The 24,682-nt window shown below is 36.3% G+C and overlaps 1 protein-coding gene across 3 annotated transcripts in view; it reads right to left on the reverse strand.

Annotated features, from left to right (window-relative positions):
• The window catches only part of MGAT4C (MGAT4 family member C), an 883,334-nt gene that overhangs the window by 377,444 nt on the left and 481,208 nt on the right, over positions 1 to 24,682 (reverse strand). For all 3 annotated transcript variants that reach the window (NM_013244.5, NM_001351286.2, NM_001351285.2), the window contains one exon: positions 955 to 1,017. The gene's annotated coding sequence lies outside the window, so the exon portion shown is untranslated. The remainder of the gene's footprint in view (positions 1 to 954; positions 1,018 to 24,682) is intronic.

Below are 24,682 nucleotides of genomic sequence, written 5' to 3' on the forward strand. Positions count from 1 at the left end.
TAAATTAATGACAGGTACATCTGAATAGGATTCCTTCTAAGTCACTTATCTGCAGCCAGGCAAACTTGTCTCACCCTCACTTTCAAAGATAAAGCCACATGGCATGTTTCCTTAGCAGATTCTCACAAAGCAAACAGCCCCCATTGGCCATTATTGGGGAAAAAAATTCCCCTTATTATTTCAGGTAATGTGACAGCAAATGGTATAAAGTGAAAACTATCTTCCAGTTGAAAATTCATCATTTACCCCTCTCTCTCAACTATCAGGCCTTACGTCCTCTCTAACTTTCACAGGCTCTGTGCCTCTTGCTCTTTTACTTTTATTTTTGACAGTTCTGCTATCCCAGAGTTGTAGCCATGGCAGGGTTCAAGAACAAAACAGCAGGCTATCAAAGACAACTTATCACAGGCCAAACAGTGAGCAGAGATGGCCACCATTAGCGAGTAGCCAAAAGACAGACTGATGACAGAGCAAAGAAGAAAAGTGAACCAAGCTTCATCATTAACTGATAGCTTATTCTGTTTAGAAAATCCAAGAGAAAAACTGGGATAATAAATATATGTCCTAAGTATTTAGGCATATTAGTCACAGAGATTTTTAAATTATGTTAAAAAAAGGCATGGAAAATGTTTATTTGTGAGGGATCTTATTTACACACTTTATCAACCATAAATACATTGGAATAGCAAAACCATGTAAAACCATATGCCTTAAACTGAATATCAGTTAATAGCACAAATACATTATCTTCTTCAGAGTTAAGTATCTATTATTCTTTTAAACTAAACAGTAAAACAAACATATCAATTCTCACTTTCTGTATTCCTTATAAGAATGCAGAAATTGCACTTAATCAAGACTATCTCATTATATATCTTAACAAATGCCATATCATATTACCAGGACAGTTATATAGCATAGTAAAATTCAGTAACACAAATCAACAGGACTCACGTTTTAGTTTCTGTAGAGATAGCCTTTCTCACGCAGAATCAGGGCTGTGCTTTCTGGGTGAGTCTGTGTTAAATTAAAATGACAAAAATCTTAGTTTCTCATTCCACTGTCACTTAGAATGCATGCAAATAAACTCCCAGTTAGTCAAGGGGAAAAAAATTGCATTAAAGAGTCCTGATTTGTAAATGTGGTCTTTTCAAATGTAGATGATGTTTACCCCTCTCTCTCCCCCAATATCTTTGCAAAATTTCAGCCCAATGAACTCATTGCTGTAGAAACTTAACTAAGGCTATGGTCAGTTAATGAAATTCAAGTCTGGGATTAAGCTCCATAAACATGCAAAATGGCTGGGCATCTGGAATTGGGAGAGACATGGATGATGCTGGAAAGAAAAAGAAATAAGCCATGTAACTTAGAGAATAAACAATATGATCAATTTAGCTAAATTATCTGTTGTCCTATATATGAGGTGATTCACAGTACCCTAAATGTTTAAGAAATAAAAGCAAAATGTTTTGAAAATATTACCAATACCATATCCAATGACACTTTGGGGGATATAAATATAGCTACTAAATTTACCTTCTTTGAAATTACACAGGTTTAATTAGATTGGATGTATTTCCTTTATAGCCGCAATAATTTAAACCACATTAAACACCATTCAAAATATGAAAGAACTTCAGTTAGTAGGCAATAAAAATTATTATTTCTGGTCTATTTAGCTACTATGTTATAGTGTTACTTGATTTGCAATGTACTTCAAAGTCATCAGTAATTTCTTAGAAGTTTTAGCAAATGCAGAACTAAGATGTTCAATTAAAACATTAAACTCTACCTGTGAACCTCCATATTATAATAATGTTATTTTATTTTTTATGAGTTAGGAAAATGTAAAAATGTATTCAGAAAAATTCATTTGAATATTTAAAATTTTAACTGCTATGTATTATTCCCCAGTTTATTTAAATTATATAAATGCATAGTCATAATAGTTTTTCCATTATTACATGTCAAGATTTTTATACTGTATTATGGAATATTTTTGAATTTTCTAGTTAACTATCCATTAACTCAACAAATATAAATGTAGATCAGGAAGCCCTTAACATTCCCTCTGCTTGACTGAACTATATATAGGTTTCTTTCTGACTCTAGGCCCCTAACCTCTTTTTACTTAGAACATTTATTTCAGAACACTTGTTATTTTATTATTTTTCTACCCCTTTGAGATGTAAATCTTCTCTCTGCACCTTGCTAGTTTTACAACCCAGTAAAGTCTTTCTCTAGGATCCAGAGATACATCCCTTTGAAATGTAAACATAAAGAAAAATAATGGCCTTATCTCCCAGTCTCTATGGGAGAGTATAAGCCTAACTTAGATGAGCAATATTAGCAAACACAGATGGCCTGATAACACTGGCAAATCCCCTCACTAATATCCTCTGGTAGAATGGTTTCTTGGGGTTGGTTCCAGGAACCTCACAGATACCAAAATTTGTAGATGCTCAAGTCCCTTAAAAATCATCTCTAGATTGAGGAGAGCCAAAATTACCTGGTGACCATCCAGAGGCAAAACTCTTTATCTGTGGAATTCAGAAGTAATTATACTGTTATTTAAAGCCCACATCTTGTTCCAGGTTTCTTTGCAAAAAACATATAGTAACTAGAATTTCTATACATCTCTGGAATGCATGACTATCAAAACTCATTGTGCAACCCTTACTGACATTAAGGCACCAAAATGTCTACAAATGTAATCATTTATCATGACCTACATGGCTAATATGGTCCAAAATACTCTTAATCTCCCGCTTTAAGGTCCATATATACCTCTAAAGAAAAATCCACCATGGCATGCTCAGTCCTCTCTTGCTGAAGCGTCCCACTGCACTCTTCTGCAGTGTTCTTTCTAACAAAACCTTCCTTTTTTAAACCTATACTGATGTTGATAAATTCTTCTTACCAACCCTTGCGTCAACCACTTTCCAATGCCTGTACTTTGCCACCTCCCTGGCATAGATTACTTAATACCATGTAAGTGTTATGTAAATAGTTGCTATCCTGTATTTTTATTTGTATTATTTTTATTGTTGCATTGTTACTTTTTTTGTTTTCCAAGTATTTTTTATTCACAGTTGGTTGAATCCCATGGATGAGGAACCTGCAGATACAGAGAGACAATTATACTTTCCACTAGTTCACCTAATTTGCGAACAATCCTACCACCTTGTGTTTCAGTAGAGTTCAGTTCAATATCTCCCCTTCTTTGTAATAAATGCCAAATACACTACTAATCTTATAAATCTTCCTTGCCTGTTTAACTCTAAGTGCAATTTTTCTTTCACATTCTCAGGTGTCTATTATGTGCCAGCAGGCACTCTGCTAATTCAGTGCTGTGCAAGGTATGCCTTGATAATACCTACTATCTAGCACAAGACTGATACAAATAATTTGATATTTAAAGGACAGTGATAATGCTGTGTCTGGGAAAACAGAAGGGAGGTGCCTGATAAAAGAGGAACAGAGAATAAAAAGTATAATAGAGGAAATATCATCAAAGCCAGTCACTTCATGGTATTATCCAGGCAATTTTCAGTAGGGAAAACACTCCAGGAGGACATCAGCACATGTGAAAACCTAGAAAGAAGATAAACATTACAGTATGAAGACAAGAAAAATCAGAATGGCTACAGTGTATTCAGTGAAATGGGAGGGGTGTCAGGAAATGAGGCTAAAACAAAATAAGAGAAAGGAAAGGCACTTATTTTTCAATATTTGTATGCGAGTTCACTTTTATTTTAATCAATAGATTAATGAGCAAGACAATATAACTTAATATTCACTGCCAAGGGCTTTGGTGTCAGACTAACAGGTTTTGAAATTTGACTCTACCTCTCATAAGTTGTATAATATTAGGCAAGTTGTCTAACCTCTCTAAACTTCAGCTTCTTCATTTCATTCATAAGGATAGTACATGAAGTTTTATGTGGATTAAAGGGAATTGTACCTAAAATATTAACTTAAGTCTTGGTACACAGAAAATGATCGATGATGATGATGATGTGGTGATGATGATAGAAACCAATCTATGATACTGACAGTGAAGTACACATATACTATATACTAGGTCCTGGGAGTTACAAAGTGTTTGAAGAAAACAGAAATTGCTGGAGTGTTTTTAAAATGGAAATATATTATCTAATTTACATTTTGAAATAATATTCTGATGTTTTTAAAGTTGGGAAGTGGCTGGGCATGGTGGCTCATGTCTGTAATCCTAGCACTTTGAGAGTCCGAGGAAGGTGGATCGCTTGAGCCTAGGAGTTCAAGACCATCCTGGGCAACATGGCGAAACCCTGCCACTTAAAAAATGTAAAAATTAGCCAGTTGTGATAGTCCCAGCTACTTGAGAGGCTAAGGCAGGAGAATCACTTGAGCCCAGGAGGCAGTGGAGATGGCAGTGAGCTGAGATAGTGCCATTGCACTCCAGTCTGGACGACAGGAATGAAATCTTGTCTCAAAAAAAAAAAAAAAAAAAAGTTGGGAAGTGAATGTTATAATTCAGGCAAGATACAATAGCGGTGTGAGAACAGATAGTAGAAGCTAAAACTTTGTTTGAGTAAATATTTGCAGATACATTAACTAAAAGTCGACATTTACTGAAATGATGGGTTTATAATAGGATGGCCTAATAATAGGATAAACATACTTCTGCTTTTTAACTGTTATCTGAATGTAATTATTAATAGCAGAGCCTTCTACTTATAAAATTATCCTTGTTTGGATGATGAACTATGTTGTAGAAGTCTTTGTAGGAATCACTTCATATGTTTTATAAGAGAATTGTTTAATCAAGCCAATCAATCGAGTGGATGACATCTTCAAAATATAATATAGCAGCAATCATAAGAGAAAGAGCTTTCAGGTGCAATGTTATAACCGCCCAATGGGTTCACCTTGCCTGCAGCCTAGACAGAGCTGATTTACCAAGACAGGGGAATTGCAATAAAGAAAGAATAATTCATGCAGAGCCCACTGTGTGGGATACTAAAGTTTTATTATTACTCAAATCAGTCTCCCCGAACATTCGGGGAGCAGAATTTTTAAGGACAACTTAGTGGGTAAGGGTAAGCCAGCAAACTGGGAATGCTGATTGGTCAGGGATGAAGTCATAGGGAGTCAAAGCTGTCTCTTCCCGCTGAGTCAGTTCCTGAGTGGGGGCTACAAGATCAGATGAGCCAGTTTATCAATCTGGGTGGTTCCAGCTGATACATCAAGTGCAGGGTCTGCCAAATATCTCAAGCACTGCTCTTGGGAGCAGTTTAGGGAGGGTCAGAATCTTCTAGCTGCGTGACTCCTAAACCATAATTTCTAATCTTGTGGCTAATTTCTTAGTCCTACAAAGGCAGTTGAGTTCCCCGGTAAGAAGGAGGTTTGTTTTGGGAAAGAGCTGTTATTGTCTTTGTTTTAAATGATAAACTATAAACTAAATTCCTCCCAAAGTTAGTTCAGCCTATGCCCAGGAATGAACAAGGACAGCTTGGAGGTTAGTAGAAAGATGGAGTCGGTTAGGTTAGATCCCCTTCACTTTCTCAGTCATAATTTTGCAAAGGCAGTTTCAGTGGCTGACGCCTTTAATCCCACCACTTTGGGAGGTCGAGGTAGCTGGATCGCTTGAGGTTAGGAGTTTGAGACCAGCCTGGCCAACATCGTGAAACCCCATCTCTACAAAAATACAAAAATTAGCCAGGCATGGTGGCACACACCTGTAGTCCCAGCTACTCAGGAGGCTGAGGTATAAGAACCGCTTGAACCCAGGTGGCAGAAGTTGCAGTGAGCTGAGATAGTGCCACTGCACTCCAGGCTGGGTGACAGAGTGAGACTCCATCTCAAAAAAAAAAAAAAAAAAAAAAAACAGAGAGAAAGAGAGAAAGAGCTAATATTTATTTGAGCACATTTATCTGTCAGATGCTGCTTTATGCTGATAACATGCATTATGTCATTTAATGCCGAAAACAACCCTATGAAGTTGGTATTATTGTTATTATTGTTATCCCTATTGTACAGATGAAAAAATTGGAGCACAAAGAGGTTAAACAATCTGTCCAAGTTACATAGCAAATGAAGGCACATGAATCCAAACCAGAGAGTCTGCCTCCAGAGTCTGTGCATTTAGCCCCTATGCAAAAAGTGCCAGAAATAGAGTAGTTTTAAGAGCAGGCAATGCTCATATAGGGCTACTATTATCTAAGAAGATAGTAAAGAATCAGCTGTGGGCAATAGTAGAATAAACTATGTCGGCAAGGTAGAAAGCACAAAGATGATGATATCAGAGTAGCTTCAATTAGGAAATGATATTTCAGATAGATTTTAAAGAATGAAAAGAATATTTGCCTCCTTAAAAGGTCTACTTCAAATGAAAATTTATAAAGATACATGTTTTTCCTTGATTATTCCAATCAAATTTGATCACTCAATCTTCTAAATGTCTTTGTATTAAACATATATAAAAATATGTTTTCTTACCACAGACAGATCTGAGATCAGCAACATTCTGAGAAACTTCCATACACTTACATTATTTATATGAAAATTTACAATTCAAACTATTTATCTTAGCCTCTCTGATTAATATTCTATCTTATAGTATATACACACACACCTACACATGCACACACACACACAAAGACACACAGAGCAAATTTTAGTATCCAAGACACTCTTGCCACAATAGTTTTTCTTTTCCTCAAGTACGCCAAACTTTGGCCTTTTTCCTTTCTCTGTTTAATCTTTTCCAAATCTTAGATTGGTAGCTCTTTCTTATGTTTCTTCTAGGCTACAGTACATAGAGCAGCACTTTGGTTTTATTTTTTAAAATCTTCTGGGGACAAAGCCTTTATCTAGATATTGCAACTTCTCCTCTGCTCTACTTCCTGTAAAGATGCTTGTCCCCATTTGAACATTGAATATATTAATAAGTGAGTAGATAAATTTGGCTTAATTCTGAAGTTCTTGTCCACTAATATAAGTTACAATCTCCAGATTAGCTTTTATAAATAACAGAAGAGTTCATTTTGCTTCATGTGCTTTTATTCTTTATTTCAGTCAGATATTAAGTAAATCATCTTAAAGAACATAACATAATTTATATCTTCAAATTACTTCTATAATTTTTATCCACAATGTCTGACACTCAGAAATAATCAAGTAAAAGGGAAGTCAAGGCTTGATTAAATACCAAGAGAAAAATAAAATAACCAGGGAAATTAGAAGACGTTTTGCATCAGATGAATGAAAATAAAGCAGTGTTTAAAAAATGTTTAGCTTGAAAGCCTATATTCAACAAAAAGAATGATTTAAAATAACCAAAGCAGCCACATTAAGAAACTAACAAAGAAAGGCTGATCTAATTTCCAAGCAAGAAAAAAAGAAGGAAACCATAAAGATTCTATAGAAGAACAATAAAATAGTAACAGAAAGATAAAATTGTAGAAAAATCAATTAAAGCAAAAGTTGACTCACTTTTCAGATAAAAGCTTTGATAAATTTTGGTTAAACTGGCAAGCAGAGAAGACAGAAGACACAAATTTTAAGAATCCAACATAAAAGGATATCATTATTGATGACTCTTTGGAAATAACACAGGTTATAAAGATACTGTGGCTTGGAACTAGAAGACCTACACAGTGGAATAACCAAATAGAAGAATCCTGGGTTCCTCATAGAGTGAACATGATAGTGTGTGTACACTGGAGAGACATAAAGGAGTTCAGAAGAAGTCTTCACAAGTAAACTTTTGAGGTTACTCTCTCACCTTAAGGCCCAAGTTTAACCTGGTTGATTTTAAGTTCTTTAACAAGAAGTTTCCAAAATATTTAAAAGGGCTTATAAAAGTAAATATTTAAAAGGGCTTATAAAAAAATATAAAAGTGGCCAAGATGGCTGACTATAAGCAGCTAGTGCTTGTGGCTCTCACGGAGAGGAACAAAAGGGGCAAGTAAATACAACACCTTCAATTGAAACACCCATGTACTCACATTGACATTAATCACAGAAACAACTTGACCCACAGAGAATGAAGCAAAGCAAGACAAGACAATGGCCCACCTGGCAGCAACATGGAGTCAGGGGATCCTCCCCAGCCCAGGGAAGCCATAAATGAATGAGCCACCCCAGGAAACTATGCTTCTCCCACAGATATTTGCTACCCTAGGGTCAAAAGATCTCCTTGTGAACCCACTCCACTAGGGCCTTCAATCTTCAGTCTGTCAGACAGAGCTACATGGAGTCTCAGCAGAGCAGCTGCTCAGGTGTGCATGGAAACCATGGAGCCTTAGATACTTCGACTTTCTGGCAAAAGTAGCTGCTGCTCTAGCAAAGTAGAAGGTTAGACTCCTGTACATAACCCCAGGCAAGAGGCTGAATCCAGGGGGCTGAGCAGCAAAAGCCCATAGGCTGCATTTCCAGAGCACCTCACAAGATTAGACCCACTGGCTTAAAATTACAATCAGCTACCAGTAGCAGCACTGCACTCCCCTAAGAAGGATCTCCCAGAAGGAGGGTCAGGCTCCCATCTTTGCTGTTCAGGAGCCTTTGCCATTCCAGCCTTCAGGCTTTGGAGAGCCTGAGCCAACCCAGGGCAGATGGGATCCCCCAGCACAGCACAGCTGCTCTACCAAAATGTGGCCTGACTGCTGCTTTAAGCAGGCACTCAATCCTGGGCAGGACCTCCCAGTCAAGGCCTTCAGCCACACCCACCTGAGCTCTCCAGCCATCAGACATCTGAATTGCCCTAGGACGGCACTCCTAGAGGAGAAGGTAGGTCGCCATCTTTGCTGTTTGGGTGACTTAACCATTCGAGCCTTTGAGCATTGGAGTGCCTGAGGTGACAGAGGGCTGAAGTGGACCCCCAGCGCAGCAGAGCTGATTTACCAAAATATGGCCAGACTGCTTTTTTTAAGTGGGTTCCTGTCAAGTTCCTTCTCTCTGGGGGGGACCTCTCAACTGGGGTCTCCAGCCATTTCTTATACATGCTTATAGGCTGGCAACAGGTCCATACCTCCCTGAAACAAAGCTCCCAGAGGGAGGGACAGGCTATCATCTTTGCTGTTTTGCAACCTTCACTGGTGATGCCTCCAGGTTCTGGAAAATCTGAGGTGACTAGGGAATGGAGCAAGCCCCAAGCATAGCATAGTAGCCCTATGGAAAAGTAGACAGAGTATAACGTAGGTGCTTGTTTCCATGTCTCCTCAGCAGGCAGGTCCTCCAGGTCTGGTACTCCAGCCACCCCTGAAGGAGCTATCAAGACAGTACCAACTCAGCAACTCCCTGGAAAGAGCCTCCAGGGGCAATTCAAAGCCTCTCTGCCACTGCCTATGCAGTGGAACTGCCCTTGCCATCCTTGGGCTAATGAAGGAGCAAAGACCCTAAGTGCCTCATCCACACCTCCATCAAGCTTCAGCCAATTCAAGGAGAGGTGTCAGTCTGTCTCCCACAGGTCCCACATACGCTCCATGGCTCATCACCACGCCCGGCTAATTTTTTTGTATTTTTAGTAGAGACGGGGTTTCACCATGTTAGCCAGGATGATCTCGATCTCCTGATCTCGTGATCCGCCCACCTCGGCCTCCCAAAGTGCTGGGATTACAGGCGTGAGCCACTGCTCCCAGCCATGGTTTTTTTTTATATTGTCATATATTTCCAGTATCTAATGCAATGTCAGCCTCAATAAATATTTGATGAATGTAACTTGGCAGTTAGCCATGCCTTTTCAGTGAATGATTCATAGGAAACACCCAATGCAATCGATTGATTATAATTACCAAAGAAAGATCGCTGCAAACAGAATGTATTACATGTTGTTTTCCTCATCATGATGACTGTCTTTACTAGATAGGGTAGAAACATAAGTAATTCAAAAAAACTAAAGAGTAATAAAACGACTCAAATGAGATTGAGATAGAAAGCTCAGGGCTGTTTTGGAAGTTTGTGGTCACTAACGACTCAGGATTCTTGCTGCTTTGCCACTCTTAATGGCTTCTACCTTTAAATTACAACATTGCTACTTCAGTTCCAGGTAAACTATATAGGCTCCAGAAAGCAGAAGACAGGAAGAGATGAGGGCAAAAGAAACATACATATACTGGTTGAGCATGTCCAATAAAAAGAGCTGTTCTTGACACTGACCCAGTAACTTCAGCTTTACATGTTATTGAAAACACCTTTCAAAAAGGAAATTGAAATGTAGATGTTTTGATCAATGTATCGTCACCTCAAACAATATACTGATCTGTTAGTAAGATAGATAGGAGAAATATAAAGCATTTTTCTCCTCCCTTATGGAATGTGTCCATTTTTAGTTATTTGAGCATATTGCATCCTAAAACTGTTTTTTTTAACAAAACCTATTGGAAATATGTCTTGGAAAAACATATATTTTATTGTATATTTTCCTTTAAGCCTATTGCCCAAAAATTCTAAACAAGGGAAGCTCAGTATTAGAAATGGATTTATGGTTCAAAACATTAAAAAATTGAGAAATGCATTGTGTAAAACCGAAAGACAAACCTCACCTGGATTCCAGATACATACATGAAGATACAACACTATGTATTACACTGTGTACACTTTCAAATATATCTTCATCAAAAATCAGACGAGACATCAACATCTTATCTATCGATCTTCCCCAACTACCCTCTTCTCAACTCTTATGAAGCCTCATTCAGTTAATTCTTTATGTAAAAAACTATTGAAGTTAAGCCATAGCAGCAGGAAAGCTTTTTTTTTCTTTTCATTTTTGAATGTGTTTTTTTTATAGGTCTGTGTGCTTACATATGAGTGCACGCCTGCTGTTTGGCCATTCTTTCACACCAAACAATGAATCCACACAGAGATAACCTGAATTGGGAGTTTAGCAGTGCTGCCATTTCTTCATTCTACCTTTGTTTAACTTTTCTGTCACTAGTTCTAAGCTAAAAACAGAATAAATTGCCAGAATAAAGTAAGAATTGCAGATTCTCAAAATGTATACCCTCCCCCAATGCAGAAAGATAGTCTGATATTTGAATTCCCAAGGGAATTTCTTCAGAAACATTGAATAAATGGGGTTGAAAAATTCAAGGATGCAAACACTTAAGAAAGGTATGGATGGACTCAATACATTTAAAAGAAAAACATTCTAAGGATTCAAGAATGAATTACAATTTGAAATGAAATCATTTTTATATTTGTGCTTACTTTTAACTTTAGGGACTATTCTATCACAAGGGACTTTGCTTTTAATTGATTAGGTAAGGCGCTGAAGAACTAAATAGACTACTCTTTTTATTCCTTGACAGTTTTGCTGTTTCAAGAAAGAAAAGCATTCCTGGGCCAAAAGAAACATGAACTGACTTCTGAAAAATAACACTTTTAAAATTTTGTCAAACATTGTTAATACAATTATATGAAATTAAATTATCTCTCTCTACTGTTTCTTCTTAGTGTGTCAGAAATACTAAACAGGTTCCAATTGATTGTACTTTACACACATTGAATACAGACTATACAAAGTGTTTAAAGATTTGTAAGATTTAAAAGACTTATTTAAGAAAAATGTCATTTTCTTTAAGTGTTAAATAGACAGCAATATAGTTCTATCTCTTCTCGGTGTGTGTGTGTGTGTGTGTGTGTGTGTGTGTGTGTGTATGTGTGTGTGTGTGTGTGTAGCGGCAAGAGGGGCACATTGAGAGGAAGCACAAGATTTCTCTAGAGGAAGCTGTTGCCCACTGCATTAATACATGTGACATATTGACATATTTAATCCATCAAACATAAGGCTTGCTTCCATTTAGTTTGTGACAATTTGAACAACTATGTACAGGTAAATACATTGCTGTTAGCTTTGTATTTTCTATAAACACTCCTAAGGAGAATTAAGATAAAATCACTGAAGAATTATTCCACTATTTATGCATGATGTTTTAATGTGTTCCTTTTTTATTTTAAAATTTTAACACAAAATATTTTGAACAGACAAATATGTCACACAAATGATACCCAACATAATGTAATATACTTCAGTTTCAGGAAAATGTTAAGAACATCATACATAAAGCTGTGACTGACCTTAAGTTTCTAAAGAGGAATCAAGCTGCACTCACATTACTTGTTTGCTTATTTTTTATGCTCACTTTCTTATTTATTTATTTATTTTTATTTTATTTTATTTTTATTATTATTATACTTTAAGTTTTAGGGTACATGTGCACAACGTGCAGGTTTGTTACATATGTATACATGTGCCATGTTGGTGTGCTGTACCCATTAACTCGTCATTTAGCATTAGGTACATCTCCTAATGCTATCCCTCCCCCCTTCCCCCACCCCACAACAGTCCCTGATGTGTGATGTTCCCCTTCCTGTGTCCATGTGTTCTCTTTGTTCAATTCCCACCTATGAGTGAGAACATGCAGTGTTTGGTTTTTTGTCCTTGCAATAGTTTGCTGAGAATGATGGTTTCCAGTTTCATCCATGTCCCTACAAAGGACATGAACTCATCATTTTTTATGGCTGCATAGTATTCCATGGTGTATATGTGCACATTGTTGGACATTTGGGTTGGTTCCAAGTCTTTGCTATTGTGAATAGTGCTGCAATAAACATACATGTCCATGTGCCTTTATAACAGCATGATTTATAATCCTTTGGGTATATACCCAGTAATGGGATGGCTGGGTCAAATGGTATTTCTAGTTCTAGATCCCTGAGGAATCGCCACACCGACCTTCACAATGGTTGAACTAGTTTAAAGTCCCACCAACAGTGTAAAAGTGTTCCTATTTCTCCACATCCTCTCCAGCACCTGTTGTTTCCTGACTTTTTAATGATCGCCATTCTAACTGGTGTGAGATGGTATCTCATTGTGGTTTTGATTTGCATTTCTCTGATGGCCAGTGATGATTTTCTAAGAATAATATTTCTTACAGAAATAGCAAAAAGGGATTTTAGTGGTTAATTTTACTTCCAAATTTCAACCAAATTTAAATGCTATTTATATAAATTGTGCCCACTATTTTAAATCCTGGTTTGCATTATAATATGCAGCATCAGAAGAAGGCCACCTATCATTTGCTATACAAATATGGGCTATAATACTAGGTAGTTTTTTTGTTTTTGTTTTTGTTTTTGTTTTTTGACAGAGTCTCACTTCTTCGCCCAGGCTGGAATGCAGTGGCACAATCTCAGCTCACTGCAACCTCTGCCTCTCAGGGTCAAGTGGTTTTTCTGCATCAGTCTCCCAAGTAGCTGGAACTACAGATGTGCACCACCATGCCCGACTAATTTTTGTATTTTTAGTAGAGATGGGGTTTCACTATGTTGGCCAGGCTGGTCTCGAACTCCTGACCTCAAGTGATCTGCCCACCTCGGCCTCCCAAAGTGCTGGGATTACAGGTGTAAGCCACAGTGCCTGGCCCATAGTTTGTTCTTTGAAGTTAACAAACCACAATTTGTTTAACTATTCACCTGTTGAAATACATTATTACAATTAATAAAAATATGCCACTTAAAATGCTTTCAATTCTCACATTGGAGGATAACTGCAACTTTTGTTGTTATGCCTGGTGTGATGGTTAATATTGAGTGTCAACATGATTGGATTGAAGGATGCGAAGTATTGTTCCTAGGTGTGTCTGTGAGGGTGTTGCCAAAAGAGATTAACATTTGAGTCAGTGGACAGAGATAGGCAGACCGATCCTCAATCTGGGTGGGCACCATCCAACCGGCTGCCAGTAGGGCTAGAAAATGTACGTGGAAAAGTGGAAAAAGGTGGAATAAGCAGACTTGCTGTGTCTTCCGGCCTTCATCATACTCCCATACTGGATGCTTCCTGCCCTTGAACATTAGACTCCAATTTCTCTGGCTTTTGGACCCTTGGACTTACACCAGTGGTTTGCCAGGGGCTCTCGGGCCTTTGGGCACAGACTGAAGACTGCACTGTCGGCTTCCCTAGTTTTGAAGTGTTGGGACTTGGACTGATCCACCACTGGCCTCTTTGCTCCTTAAATTGCAGACGGCCTATGGTGGGACTTTACCTGTTATCGTCTGAGTCAATTCTCCATAACAAACTCCCTTTCATATATACATATATGCTATTAGTTCTATCCCTCTAGACAAACCTGACTACTACACATGGCATATTTTAAAAACACGGCCACATTAAGTCTAATTATAAAATATGTAGTATTTCATCACTGAATTCATGACTTACAGAGAAATATTAAGTATAAAAAAACACATGGCATATTTTAAAAACATGCCCACATTAAGACTAATTACAAAATATGAGTATTTGATCACTGAATTCGTGACTTATAGAGAAATATTAAGTATAAAAAAATACTGATTCCTTTCAGTTCTATGCTTAATTAGGAGAGCCAGTCTCTGAGCACCTTTGGAACAAATCCCGTTTGTCTCAGTTCCAAGAGTATACATTGTCAATTACTCATATCCCTAGGAACTTTACCTGCCAATGCTACCTTAGCTCCCAATAAAATTATAAGACATTTTCATATTTAAGTACTTGTCACCTCGTATAGACACATATTTACTTCTGGTTCTGGTAGAAAAGCAGCATGGATAACATTTAAATTATGGTTCATTCATTGGGATAGGCCATTTTACAAAGAGTCAGGAAAAATCGGACCATAAGCATAGTCCCCATGTTTCCTAGCCAACAATTCCTGACACTTTTATTACAAAAGCATTAAAGTAAAATTGTTATTTTAACTTTACTTCTCCTTTTTTCCTTTGAACTTTCATGTTCTGTCCTTTTAATTTTAATTCACATCAAGTTGATAAAATCATATTTTATTCTGTAACAATGTGCCTTCCTAATTTTTTCTTTAGGCTTATTCTAAGTGTGATAACCAAATTAATAAACATTTCCATTATTTGAAAGATACACACACAAACATTGTGTAACTGTTGTTTAGAATGATGTGTGTAAATTATACTTCTTCAAATTTAGTCCACTGTGACAAACCTTGGATCAATAAAATATTCCTAACATCTAGATGAATTAAATGATTTTTATTTACACTTATTGTTCGAAATCATTCCACATTTTACTTTACCTGACACTTCAGCAATAAATGTGCTACTTCTAAAAGTTGCCTTGCTTGTTCATAGAGGACTCAAATACTTTTATTATTATATTACTAATATCATTCACTCCTTAATCTTTTTCTTCATTTTAAAAAATAGAATTCATTTTTCTTTTTAAGATATTCTTAGAATCCACTGATATTTTAACTTAAATTCAACTAGCTGTTTTCTAGGCCTGTTACCTAGTTGGGATTTTTTTTTTCCACATAAATCTTCAGAATGTTTCATCATTTCTTGTTGCTATGCATTTCTCTTCCTTGGATTTTGCTGAATTATATGCTTAAGTAATTTCCTCACAAAAGGATGTATTTCAAAATAAATTGCATACATTATTGCTACCTAAAACTACATTTATGTGGCCCTGGCACTTGAATGATAGCTTGTCTGGGGATAGAATTTCAGAATTTCGAAGGCCTTGCATCACCATCTTTTGAGCATTTTACTCATGTAGCTTTCTGTATGAATCTCATTCAATAGTACGTGGTTTTTTAGTTGTTTAATTTTTTTAAAATATGTTTTTCCTCTGTGAAAACTTCTGACTCAATCATTCGTGATGTTTGGTATATTACAATGATGTGTATTTATATGAGCCTTTTATCATTCTTTTTGGTACTTGGAAACTTTTAAAAATCTTGTGACCATTTTCCTCAATCTGGGAAATTAAAATTGCTCTATTAATAGATTTTATTTTAAATAATTATTATCAACTTTGTGGAATTTTCTATTTTATCACTTTTATTATAATATCACTCAGTTTAAAAAGATGAACCACACCTACTGACTAAAATTAAGCATTTTGTTAGAATTATTCTGTTTGAGCTCAATAGCAATAAACAGCTCAATTTAATTTTCTTGAAACTAAAGTTCTTATTGCTTGGGTTTATTTCCACTATATTTTACAGATATGTGGTAACCATGTCCTTGAAATCTTATTGTAAATTAACTAACAAAGAACTGGGATATATTTTCACTCATAATGCCAGATGATTGGTGTGGGAAATTAGACCAACACTATGAATTTATCTTGCTCAGAGAAGCTACTTCCTACCCTTTTGTGGTCAGTGAACCAGGGCAGATCATTTTAATCCCATAAGGGGTGGAGGTAATTTAAGGCTGGGTAATATAAGGCCAGATGGCTCACTATACATCTGGCTCATTTCCACTGCTAGTAAACGTTGTATTGGTATTCCCAACTATGATCCTGCATTGTTTACAGAGTCCTCTTCCTTGTAGGTTCCTGAGCTCAAAATATCTTCCTCACTGTAGCAATGTCAAATCCTCTGCTCTGCTTTCTAGCCACATTCTGCAGAGCCTCTTGTAAACCCTCTGTTTTTCTTTTCTTTGTACCATCTAGGAACGAACTAGTGCTTCAACCAGCTAGGAACTCTGCTCATTCTACACTTTATCAGTGCATTTAGAAAGTACACTTGGCCACTGAAAATTACGAGCTACAAAAACTTCAAGTTAATTTACTCTGGATCACATAGCCAGTAAGAAGCAGATTTCATACATTACTCAGTTTTGTTTTGTTTTAACTCCAACTTTCAGTACATCTTTACTATGGACTTGCTACATATCTACTGTGACAAATCTCATTTGTTACGAATTATCTGTTGCCAGTCAATATTATCTGGAATTGTTAAATTTATCAATACCTTCTTTCTAATCTAAAATGTAAATATAATTTATTCCAAATATAATTTATTCCATAAATTCTTTCTAAACTAAAATGTAAATATAATTTATTCCAATATAAATATAATATATTCCAAAGTTATATAAATGTTTTAGGAAGTAAGATGATACAACCAAAAACTTTACCTATGTGATTTCTTGACCTCCTGTGCTATGTAGTTCAAGAATTTGGCAAATTCTTTGAAGGGGAAACTCAAAGTTTAGGGCTTGCTTCTCTTATCCTTTCTTTTCCTAGAGATTATTGCCCTTGTATCTTGGATAATTCAGGAACCCCAGACTTTAACATATTTCTCAAGCTCTATACCATTGCTGAAAGCTCTGCAGCCCTTATCTGGTCACCCTCTCTTGCTGCCTGGTATAGCAAACGTCCCAAGGAAAAATGAAGTGGGCTGAATGTTGAACTCACCTTAATGGGTTTCTTTTGCTATTAGATTTGGTCACAACTTCTGTTTTATTCACTGTTGTATTCTAACTGTGTAGCAGGTCCATGGTACAAGGCAGGTGTGCAATAAATGCTTAACAAATAACTAAATGAATGATGAATACCTTCAAATTTATTTTACAGAGCAAGCGTAAGCCTAGTGACAAAGCAAGAAAATGGAAACTATTGACCAATGCCCGATTCTGTTGCAACTATAGTCTAGATGTTATTTAAGATAATGATATCAAATGGAATTCACTTATGCATAAAAGAAAAAAGAACATACAATGATTAGGCTTGTGCCAAAAATGTAAGATTGCTACCTATAAGAATATATACACAAGCAACACATTGTAAACTGTGGTTTACATATTCAGAAATCAATTTGCATTTCAAAAATCTCTTCAAATATTTGTAATAGCAACAATTAGCAATTTTTAATATATTTTACAATAGACTGAAATGTTTGATATACAATTCTCATAAGATTGTGGTGGAACTCACATAATTATGCATTTCTGGTGGTAATACAAATTGACACAATCTCTTTCTAGAGCAACTGTATTTTATTTACTTTGGTAGTTTTTTATTTACCTTTATAGACATGTTGTTTTTTTAATTTTCTTTTTTTCCCACCATATATATATCTATATATATAAACCCAGTTCAAATATATGATATGGAATATTAAATATATTGATTGATATTAAATATGTGAATATATGATATGATTTCTAAATCCTTCTCTAGTATACAGCAGTAAATAAGATGTACTTCAAGTACAATACTTTCATTTCTAAGCAGATCTCTGGCCTGGAAAAATGAAGGTTTCTCTAGAGATGTACTAGAAATTGTTTAGTTCCAAACCTAGGCCAAATTTGCCTCACACATTTCCTTCTTGTGAGACTGTATTATAAGACATTTTGTTTAATAATGATATATAACAATACCTGTACTCTTGTTACTCACCAATTTCTGTTACAAAAATAAGTAGAGATGGTAGTAGAGATATACATATATTTTGTCAAATATTTCTGCAGATGCAGAGATAATGTACAGGAATAATCAAGAACAATGAAACTTGCCTAAAGTAGAACTAAATAAGGGAGAGATTGTCAAATACATTTATAAATTATAACAAAATAAATGGAAATCAAAATTAATTAAATCACACATAATCCTATTATCCTAACATAATTATTGCCAGTAAGATAATTTTGAAAAGCAGTTGATGAAAAATTATCAGAAACTATAAATATTTTTTCTTTCAATAATTTCATTTCTGGTAATTAACCCTGAGGAATAAAATCAAATGAAGAATGCTGCTTTGTACATTGACATGTTCAGTTTAACCTTAATTTTAATGGCAAATTGTTAAACAATCTAAATATCTGACTGGGGAAATGGTAAATTATTGCATACCATCTTAATCAGTCCTTAAAATTAAGATCCTAACGACTATAGTTACATGGAAAACGCATTTGATATAATGCAGAAAAATTCTGTCAAGGCCATCACAGTTAAAACTGAAACTATTCATTATATGGTTGATAAGTGAAAGAGGCTTAACACAGTTTAATGTATGAAAGAGTTACATTAGGATAGTTGGATTGCTGTGAGTTTCTTGTGATTTTGTCTTCCTCTTCTTATAATAAATGTGCAAAAATTATGGGAAAAATATAGAAAAATTGCAGATAAATAAGAAGTGAATTTACTAAGTAACAACACTTGAATAAAGAGCTTATTGGCACTTATTAATTGATACTTATTTGAAATCACTGCTAATGCATATGAAGTTAAATAAGATTTTACTTGTACTGTCTAGTGCAGTCTGTTATAACAAAAACAATGAAAAGAGTTTCCTGGTAATATTAATAATGTCTTATTTAACTTGACATGCTTTAAAGTCTAAAACAGTGGCTTAAACATGGCAAGTTATTGATAAATACTTACTGATTAAATTTTGAGACTATAAAACTTTGACATCCTTGAAAAAAATTAGTTCAATTATTTAGTATGTAATATACATGGATCAAAACTGTTACAATAAAGCACAGTAAAATAATTCTCCTTCCCATCATCATCTGCTAGCACTTTTCCTATGTATACGAACACCTATGTATATTATTTTCCTCCTTTTCACAATGATAGCATACTATATGTAATTTACTATAGATTGATTTATTTTCAATTAACAATGTATCTTGGAAATCTTTCCATATCAGTACAAATTGTACTTCCTTATTCCCTTTTATGACCACATAGGGTTCCATTACATAGATACATTATACTTCTTCCTCATTCAAAAACACCTTTCAGTTGTTTCTTAGTTGCATTTTTTGGTCTGCTAAAATACATCAGATCAAAAAGTGAAGTTTCTCATATTTTGTAAAGCTTCCTATCACACACAATATTAATTTGTTAATAAATCTTAATGATTTACCTTAGAAACAGATGGTCTCACTCATAGGTGGGAATTGAACAATGAGAACACATGGACACAGGAAGGGGAACATCACACTCCGGGGTCTGTTGTTGGGTGGGGGAAGGGGGGAGGGGTAGCATTAGGAGATATACCTAATGTTAAATGACGAGTTAATGGGTGCAGCATACCAACATGGCACATGTATACATATGTAACAAACCTGCACATTGTGCACATGTACCCTAAAACTTAAAGTATAATAATAATAAAATAAAAAAATAAATAAATAAATAAATAAAATAAATTATAAAAAAAAAGAAAGAGATCCAGAATCTAACCACTTCTCACTGTTTCCATTGAGCTATCATTATCTCTCACCTGGATTAATATAATTGCCTCTTAAATGGTCCTCCACTTTTCAATGCTTATCTCCTCTACAGTAAAGCCTCAAAACAACAGATAGTAGGACTTTTTAAAATGTATGATAGGAATTGCAGAATTGGCTAAGATAGAGTAATTATGTCACACTCTCTTCCGCTGAATAAAATTAAAACCCTGGGTATAATACATAAACATCTAGAGACTCTGAAAAATAAATAATAACAAGTTTGCTGAGGAGAGAAATTAAAACTCAAAGAAGAATCCCATGGGGTGAGTTCTCTCTGCACTTTATTCTCCCATCTCTTCTGGCCTGAATCCAATAAATGTGCAGCAGACACAGTCACCAAAAGCTCCAAGGAAACTTATCTCATTGTGGTGCAGACTCTAGGAACTGTGACCGCTATAGGACAGAAAGAATGAGAGGAAATTTTCATGTCTTGACTTTCTCTTTTTACTCTCCAAGGTCTGTCCCACTCAAGCACTGGTCATGAAGCTGCATTTCCATGGTGGAGACAGTGCAACTGGTAGCAATGATGGTGGCATCAGTGGACTTGCTGATAATTAAAATACTCAGAAAATAATCCTTCTCTCTCATTATAGAAAGTGGAAAAGATGCTTTTGTTATCTAAAGTGAGGAAGCAATCCCTTTCCCTCTCTCTGCCTCTCTCTCTCTCTTTCTCTTCTCTTACTGCTTTGCCCCAAGTTGAACAGAATTGTAGATGTGCACGAGCGTAATGAGGCAAATACTCTGGCCTCATAGCTAGAGTACCAAATCAAGGCCTCCGGTATTTAGAGAGTACAAGGTAATCAAGAAGAGGATGGAACTGGAGAAAAGCTGGAGAAAATCTGTACAAGGAGTATACGGTTCATCCCAACCTATGTATGTGTGGAACTGAACCAACACATGAAAAGTTCGAAAAAACTTTGATATGATGAATGTGAATTTCCAGGTGACAAATTAGCACATGGTTGGTGGACATGCTGGGCAGACCAAAATATCACTGCCAAGGATTTTTTTACTATACTGAAATTGAAATTATAGTGAATAGAAGTTGGGTCATATCATTCAGTCTGAACCTCATCTATTTGCCTGCTAATACAGACAAACAAGTAAGTGCAACAAAACAAACAAAAAAATCTCCAGAAGATTTTAACAGGACCCATAGTATTATACAGTAATATTTTAAAACTCTAAATTACAATTATCTATCAATCTATATATAGAAGAACTAGGCATAGCTCAACTACTCTCAAAGAGAAAGCCAATTAAGAAACAATGACCTTAAAATAACCTATGTTAGAATTATTAGTAGACTTTAAAGCAGATATTATAAATGCGTCTCGATGAAGGCAAAAGCCCTTGAAATGAATGGAAGGATAGAAGTTCTCAAAAAGAAATAGAAGTTATAAGAATAAACCACAGAAAATTTTAAATCTAAAAATTAAAATGCTATAAATAAAAAATTCACTGGAAATGAAATGACAAAGGAAAGAATTAGTGAACCTGAAGGTATATTAATAGAAATTATTCAATTTGGACAACAGAGAGTAGTTTGAACTTGAATGTAAGTTTGAATCTCTAAAAAGTATGCAACAAACTTGTGGCTCAAGGCTGCAAGGTATCATTATGTGTCCGGAGTTGGTTCCTTCTGGTGGGTTTGTGGTCTCACTGACTTCAAGAATGGAGCTGCAGACCTTCACGGTGAGTGTTACAGCTCTTAAAGATGGCAAAGACCCAAAGAGTGAGCAGCAGCAAGGTTTACTGTGAAGAGCAAAAGAACAAAGTTTCCACAGCATGGACGAGAACCCAAGGGGGGTGCCACTGCTGGCTGGGGGCGGCCAGCTTTTATTCCCTTATTTGTTCTCGCCCTTGTCCTACTGATTGGTCCATCTTACAGAGTGCTGATTGGTCCATTTTAGAAACGTCTAGCTAGCTACAGAGTGCTGATTGGTGCGTTTTTACAGAGCACTGATTGGTGCATTTTACAAACCTCTAGCTAGCCACAGAGCACTGATTGGTGCATTTTTACAGAGCATTGATTGGCATATTTTACAAAACTCTAGCTAGCTACAGACCACTGATTGGTGCATTTTACAATCCTACCTACAGAATGCTGATTGGCACATTTTACAATCCTCTTCTAAGACAGAAATGTTCTCCAAGTCTCCACTCAACCCAGGAAGTCCAGCTGGCTTCACCTCTCAATTGGAGTCTCAGAAGGTTAGAAAAAAGTTAGTCAAAAAATAATATTTGAAGACAGAATGGCTAAATACTTTCTAGATGTGGTGAAGAACACAAATTTACAGATTTTTATAATTCCAGAAAACACCAAATAGGATAAACTCAAATAAAACCATGTTCAGATGCACCATAATCAAACTGGAGAAAAACAAAGATAAATGTAAAACCTTTTAGGCAAGTGGAGAAAAGTAACATATTGCATAAGACTAAAAGACAGGACAACATGTTGAAAGTGTTGAAAGAAAACAAAAAAAATTGAAGACAGATACACATAATGAAAATATCCTTTAAGAATAAAGGTGGAATAAAAACATTTTTAAAGAAAAAAATAAGCAGAATATTTTTGTCATTACACCTGCTTTTAAATAAATAGTAAAAAAATTTTTGAAACTAGATAAATATTAACTGAAAAATCCAGAACATTAGGGATGACAAAATAAAAACAACAGTAATGACAACTGAACAATTAAAATAGGCTGTATTTTGCCTCTGTACGTTCCTTAAACTTAATTTTATAACTTTGCTGTTATAAAAGTTATAAAATTATTTGAGCAGTTTTCAAAGTATGTAGATGAAATACATATGATAGCCACTCCACAAAGAGGGGGTTGCATAAATAAAGAAACCCAGATGGTGGTAAGATATCTAGATTATATTTGAAGTAATAAAATATTAACGCTACATACAGAGTGAAAAATTATATTTATATATTGTAATTCCTAGAGCAACCCCAACCAAATATAATAAGGTATGTAGATGAAAGTCAAAAAAATTTAAATGGATTAATATATTTTGAAAGAATCCAAGAAAAGGCTTAAAAGTATCAATACAGTAACACCAACACCAAAACTGACAACACTACCAACGGCAACAAAAAGAGAGGGAACAAACAAAAATCCAATCACAAAACAGTAAATTTAATCTAACCGTATCAATAATTACATTAAATGTTAATACACACACTAATTTGGATCAGGTTCCAAGATGGCCAAATAGGAAGAACTCCAGTCTACAGCTCTCAGTGTGAGCAATGCAGAAGATGGGTGATTTTTGCATTTCCAACTGAGGTACCAGGTTCATCTCACTGGGGCTTGTTGGACACTGGGTGCAGCGCACGGAGCATGAGACAAAGCAGGGCAGGGCATCACTTCACATGGGAAGCACAAGGCGTCTGGGAATTCCCTTTCCTAGCCAAGGGTAGCCGTGACAGATGGTACCTGGAAAATCGGATCACTCCCCACCCTAATACTGGGCTTTTCCAAGGGTCTTAGCAAATGGCACACCAGGAGATTATATCCCGCGTCTGGCTCAGAGGGTCTTACACCCATGGAGACTCGCTCACTGCTAGCACTGCAGTCTGAGATCCAACTGCAAGGTGGCAGTGAGGCTGGGGGAGAGGGGTTGGCCATTGCTGAGGATTGAGTAGATAAACAAAGTGGCCAGGAAGCTCGAACTGGGTGGAGCCCACTGAAGCTCAAGGAGGCCTGCCTGCCTCTGTAGAATCCACCTCTGGGGGCAGGGCATGGCTGAACAAAAGGCAGCAGAAACTTCTGCAGACTTAAACCTCCCTGTCTGACAGCTCTGAACAGAGTAGTGGTTCTCCCACCACAGAGTTTGAGATCTGAGAATGGATAGACTGCCTCCTCAAGTGTGTCCCTGACCCCCAAGTAGCCTAACTGGGAGGCACCTCCCAGTAGGGGCCGACTGACACCTCATATGGCTGGGTGCCCCTCTTTGAAAAAGCTTCCAGAGGAAGGAACAGGCAGCAATATTTGCTGTCCTGCAATATTTGCTGTTCTGCAGCCTCTGCTGGTGCTACCCAGGCAAACAGGATCTGGAGTGGACCTCCAGCAAACTCCAACAGAACTGCAGCTGAGGGTCCTGACTATTAGAAGGAAAACTAACAAACAGAAAGGACATCCACACCAAAACCCCATCTGTACGTCACCATCATCAAAGACCAAAGGTAGATAACACCACAAAACGGGGAGAAACTAGAGCAGAAAAGTGGAAAATTCTAAAAATCAGAGCACCTCTTCTCCTCCAATGGAATGCTGCTCCTCGTCAGCAATGGAACAAAGCTGGATAGAGAATGACTTTGACAAGTTGAGAGAAGAAGGCTTCAGACCATCAGTAATAACAAACTTCTCCGAGCTAAAGGAGGATGTTCAAACCCATCGCAAAGAAGCTAAAAACCTTGAAAAAAGATTAGATGAATGGCTAACTAGAAGGAACAGTGTAGAGAAGAACTTAAATGACCTGATGGAGCTGAAAACCATGGCACAAGAACTATGTGACACAGGTACAAGCTTCAGTAGCCTATTTGATCAAGTGGAAGAAAGGGTATCAGTGATTGAAGATCAAATGAATGAAATGAAGCAAGAAGAGAAGTTTAAAGAAAAAAGAGTAAAAA

This window comes from Homo sapiens, chromosome 12, assembly GCF_000001405.40.
Source record: "Homo sapiens chromosome 12, GRCh38.p14 Primary Assembly".
Classification (NCBI taxonomy): Eukaryota; Metazoa; Chordata; class Mammalia; order Primates; family Hominidae; genus Homo; species Homo sapiens.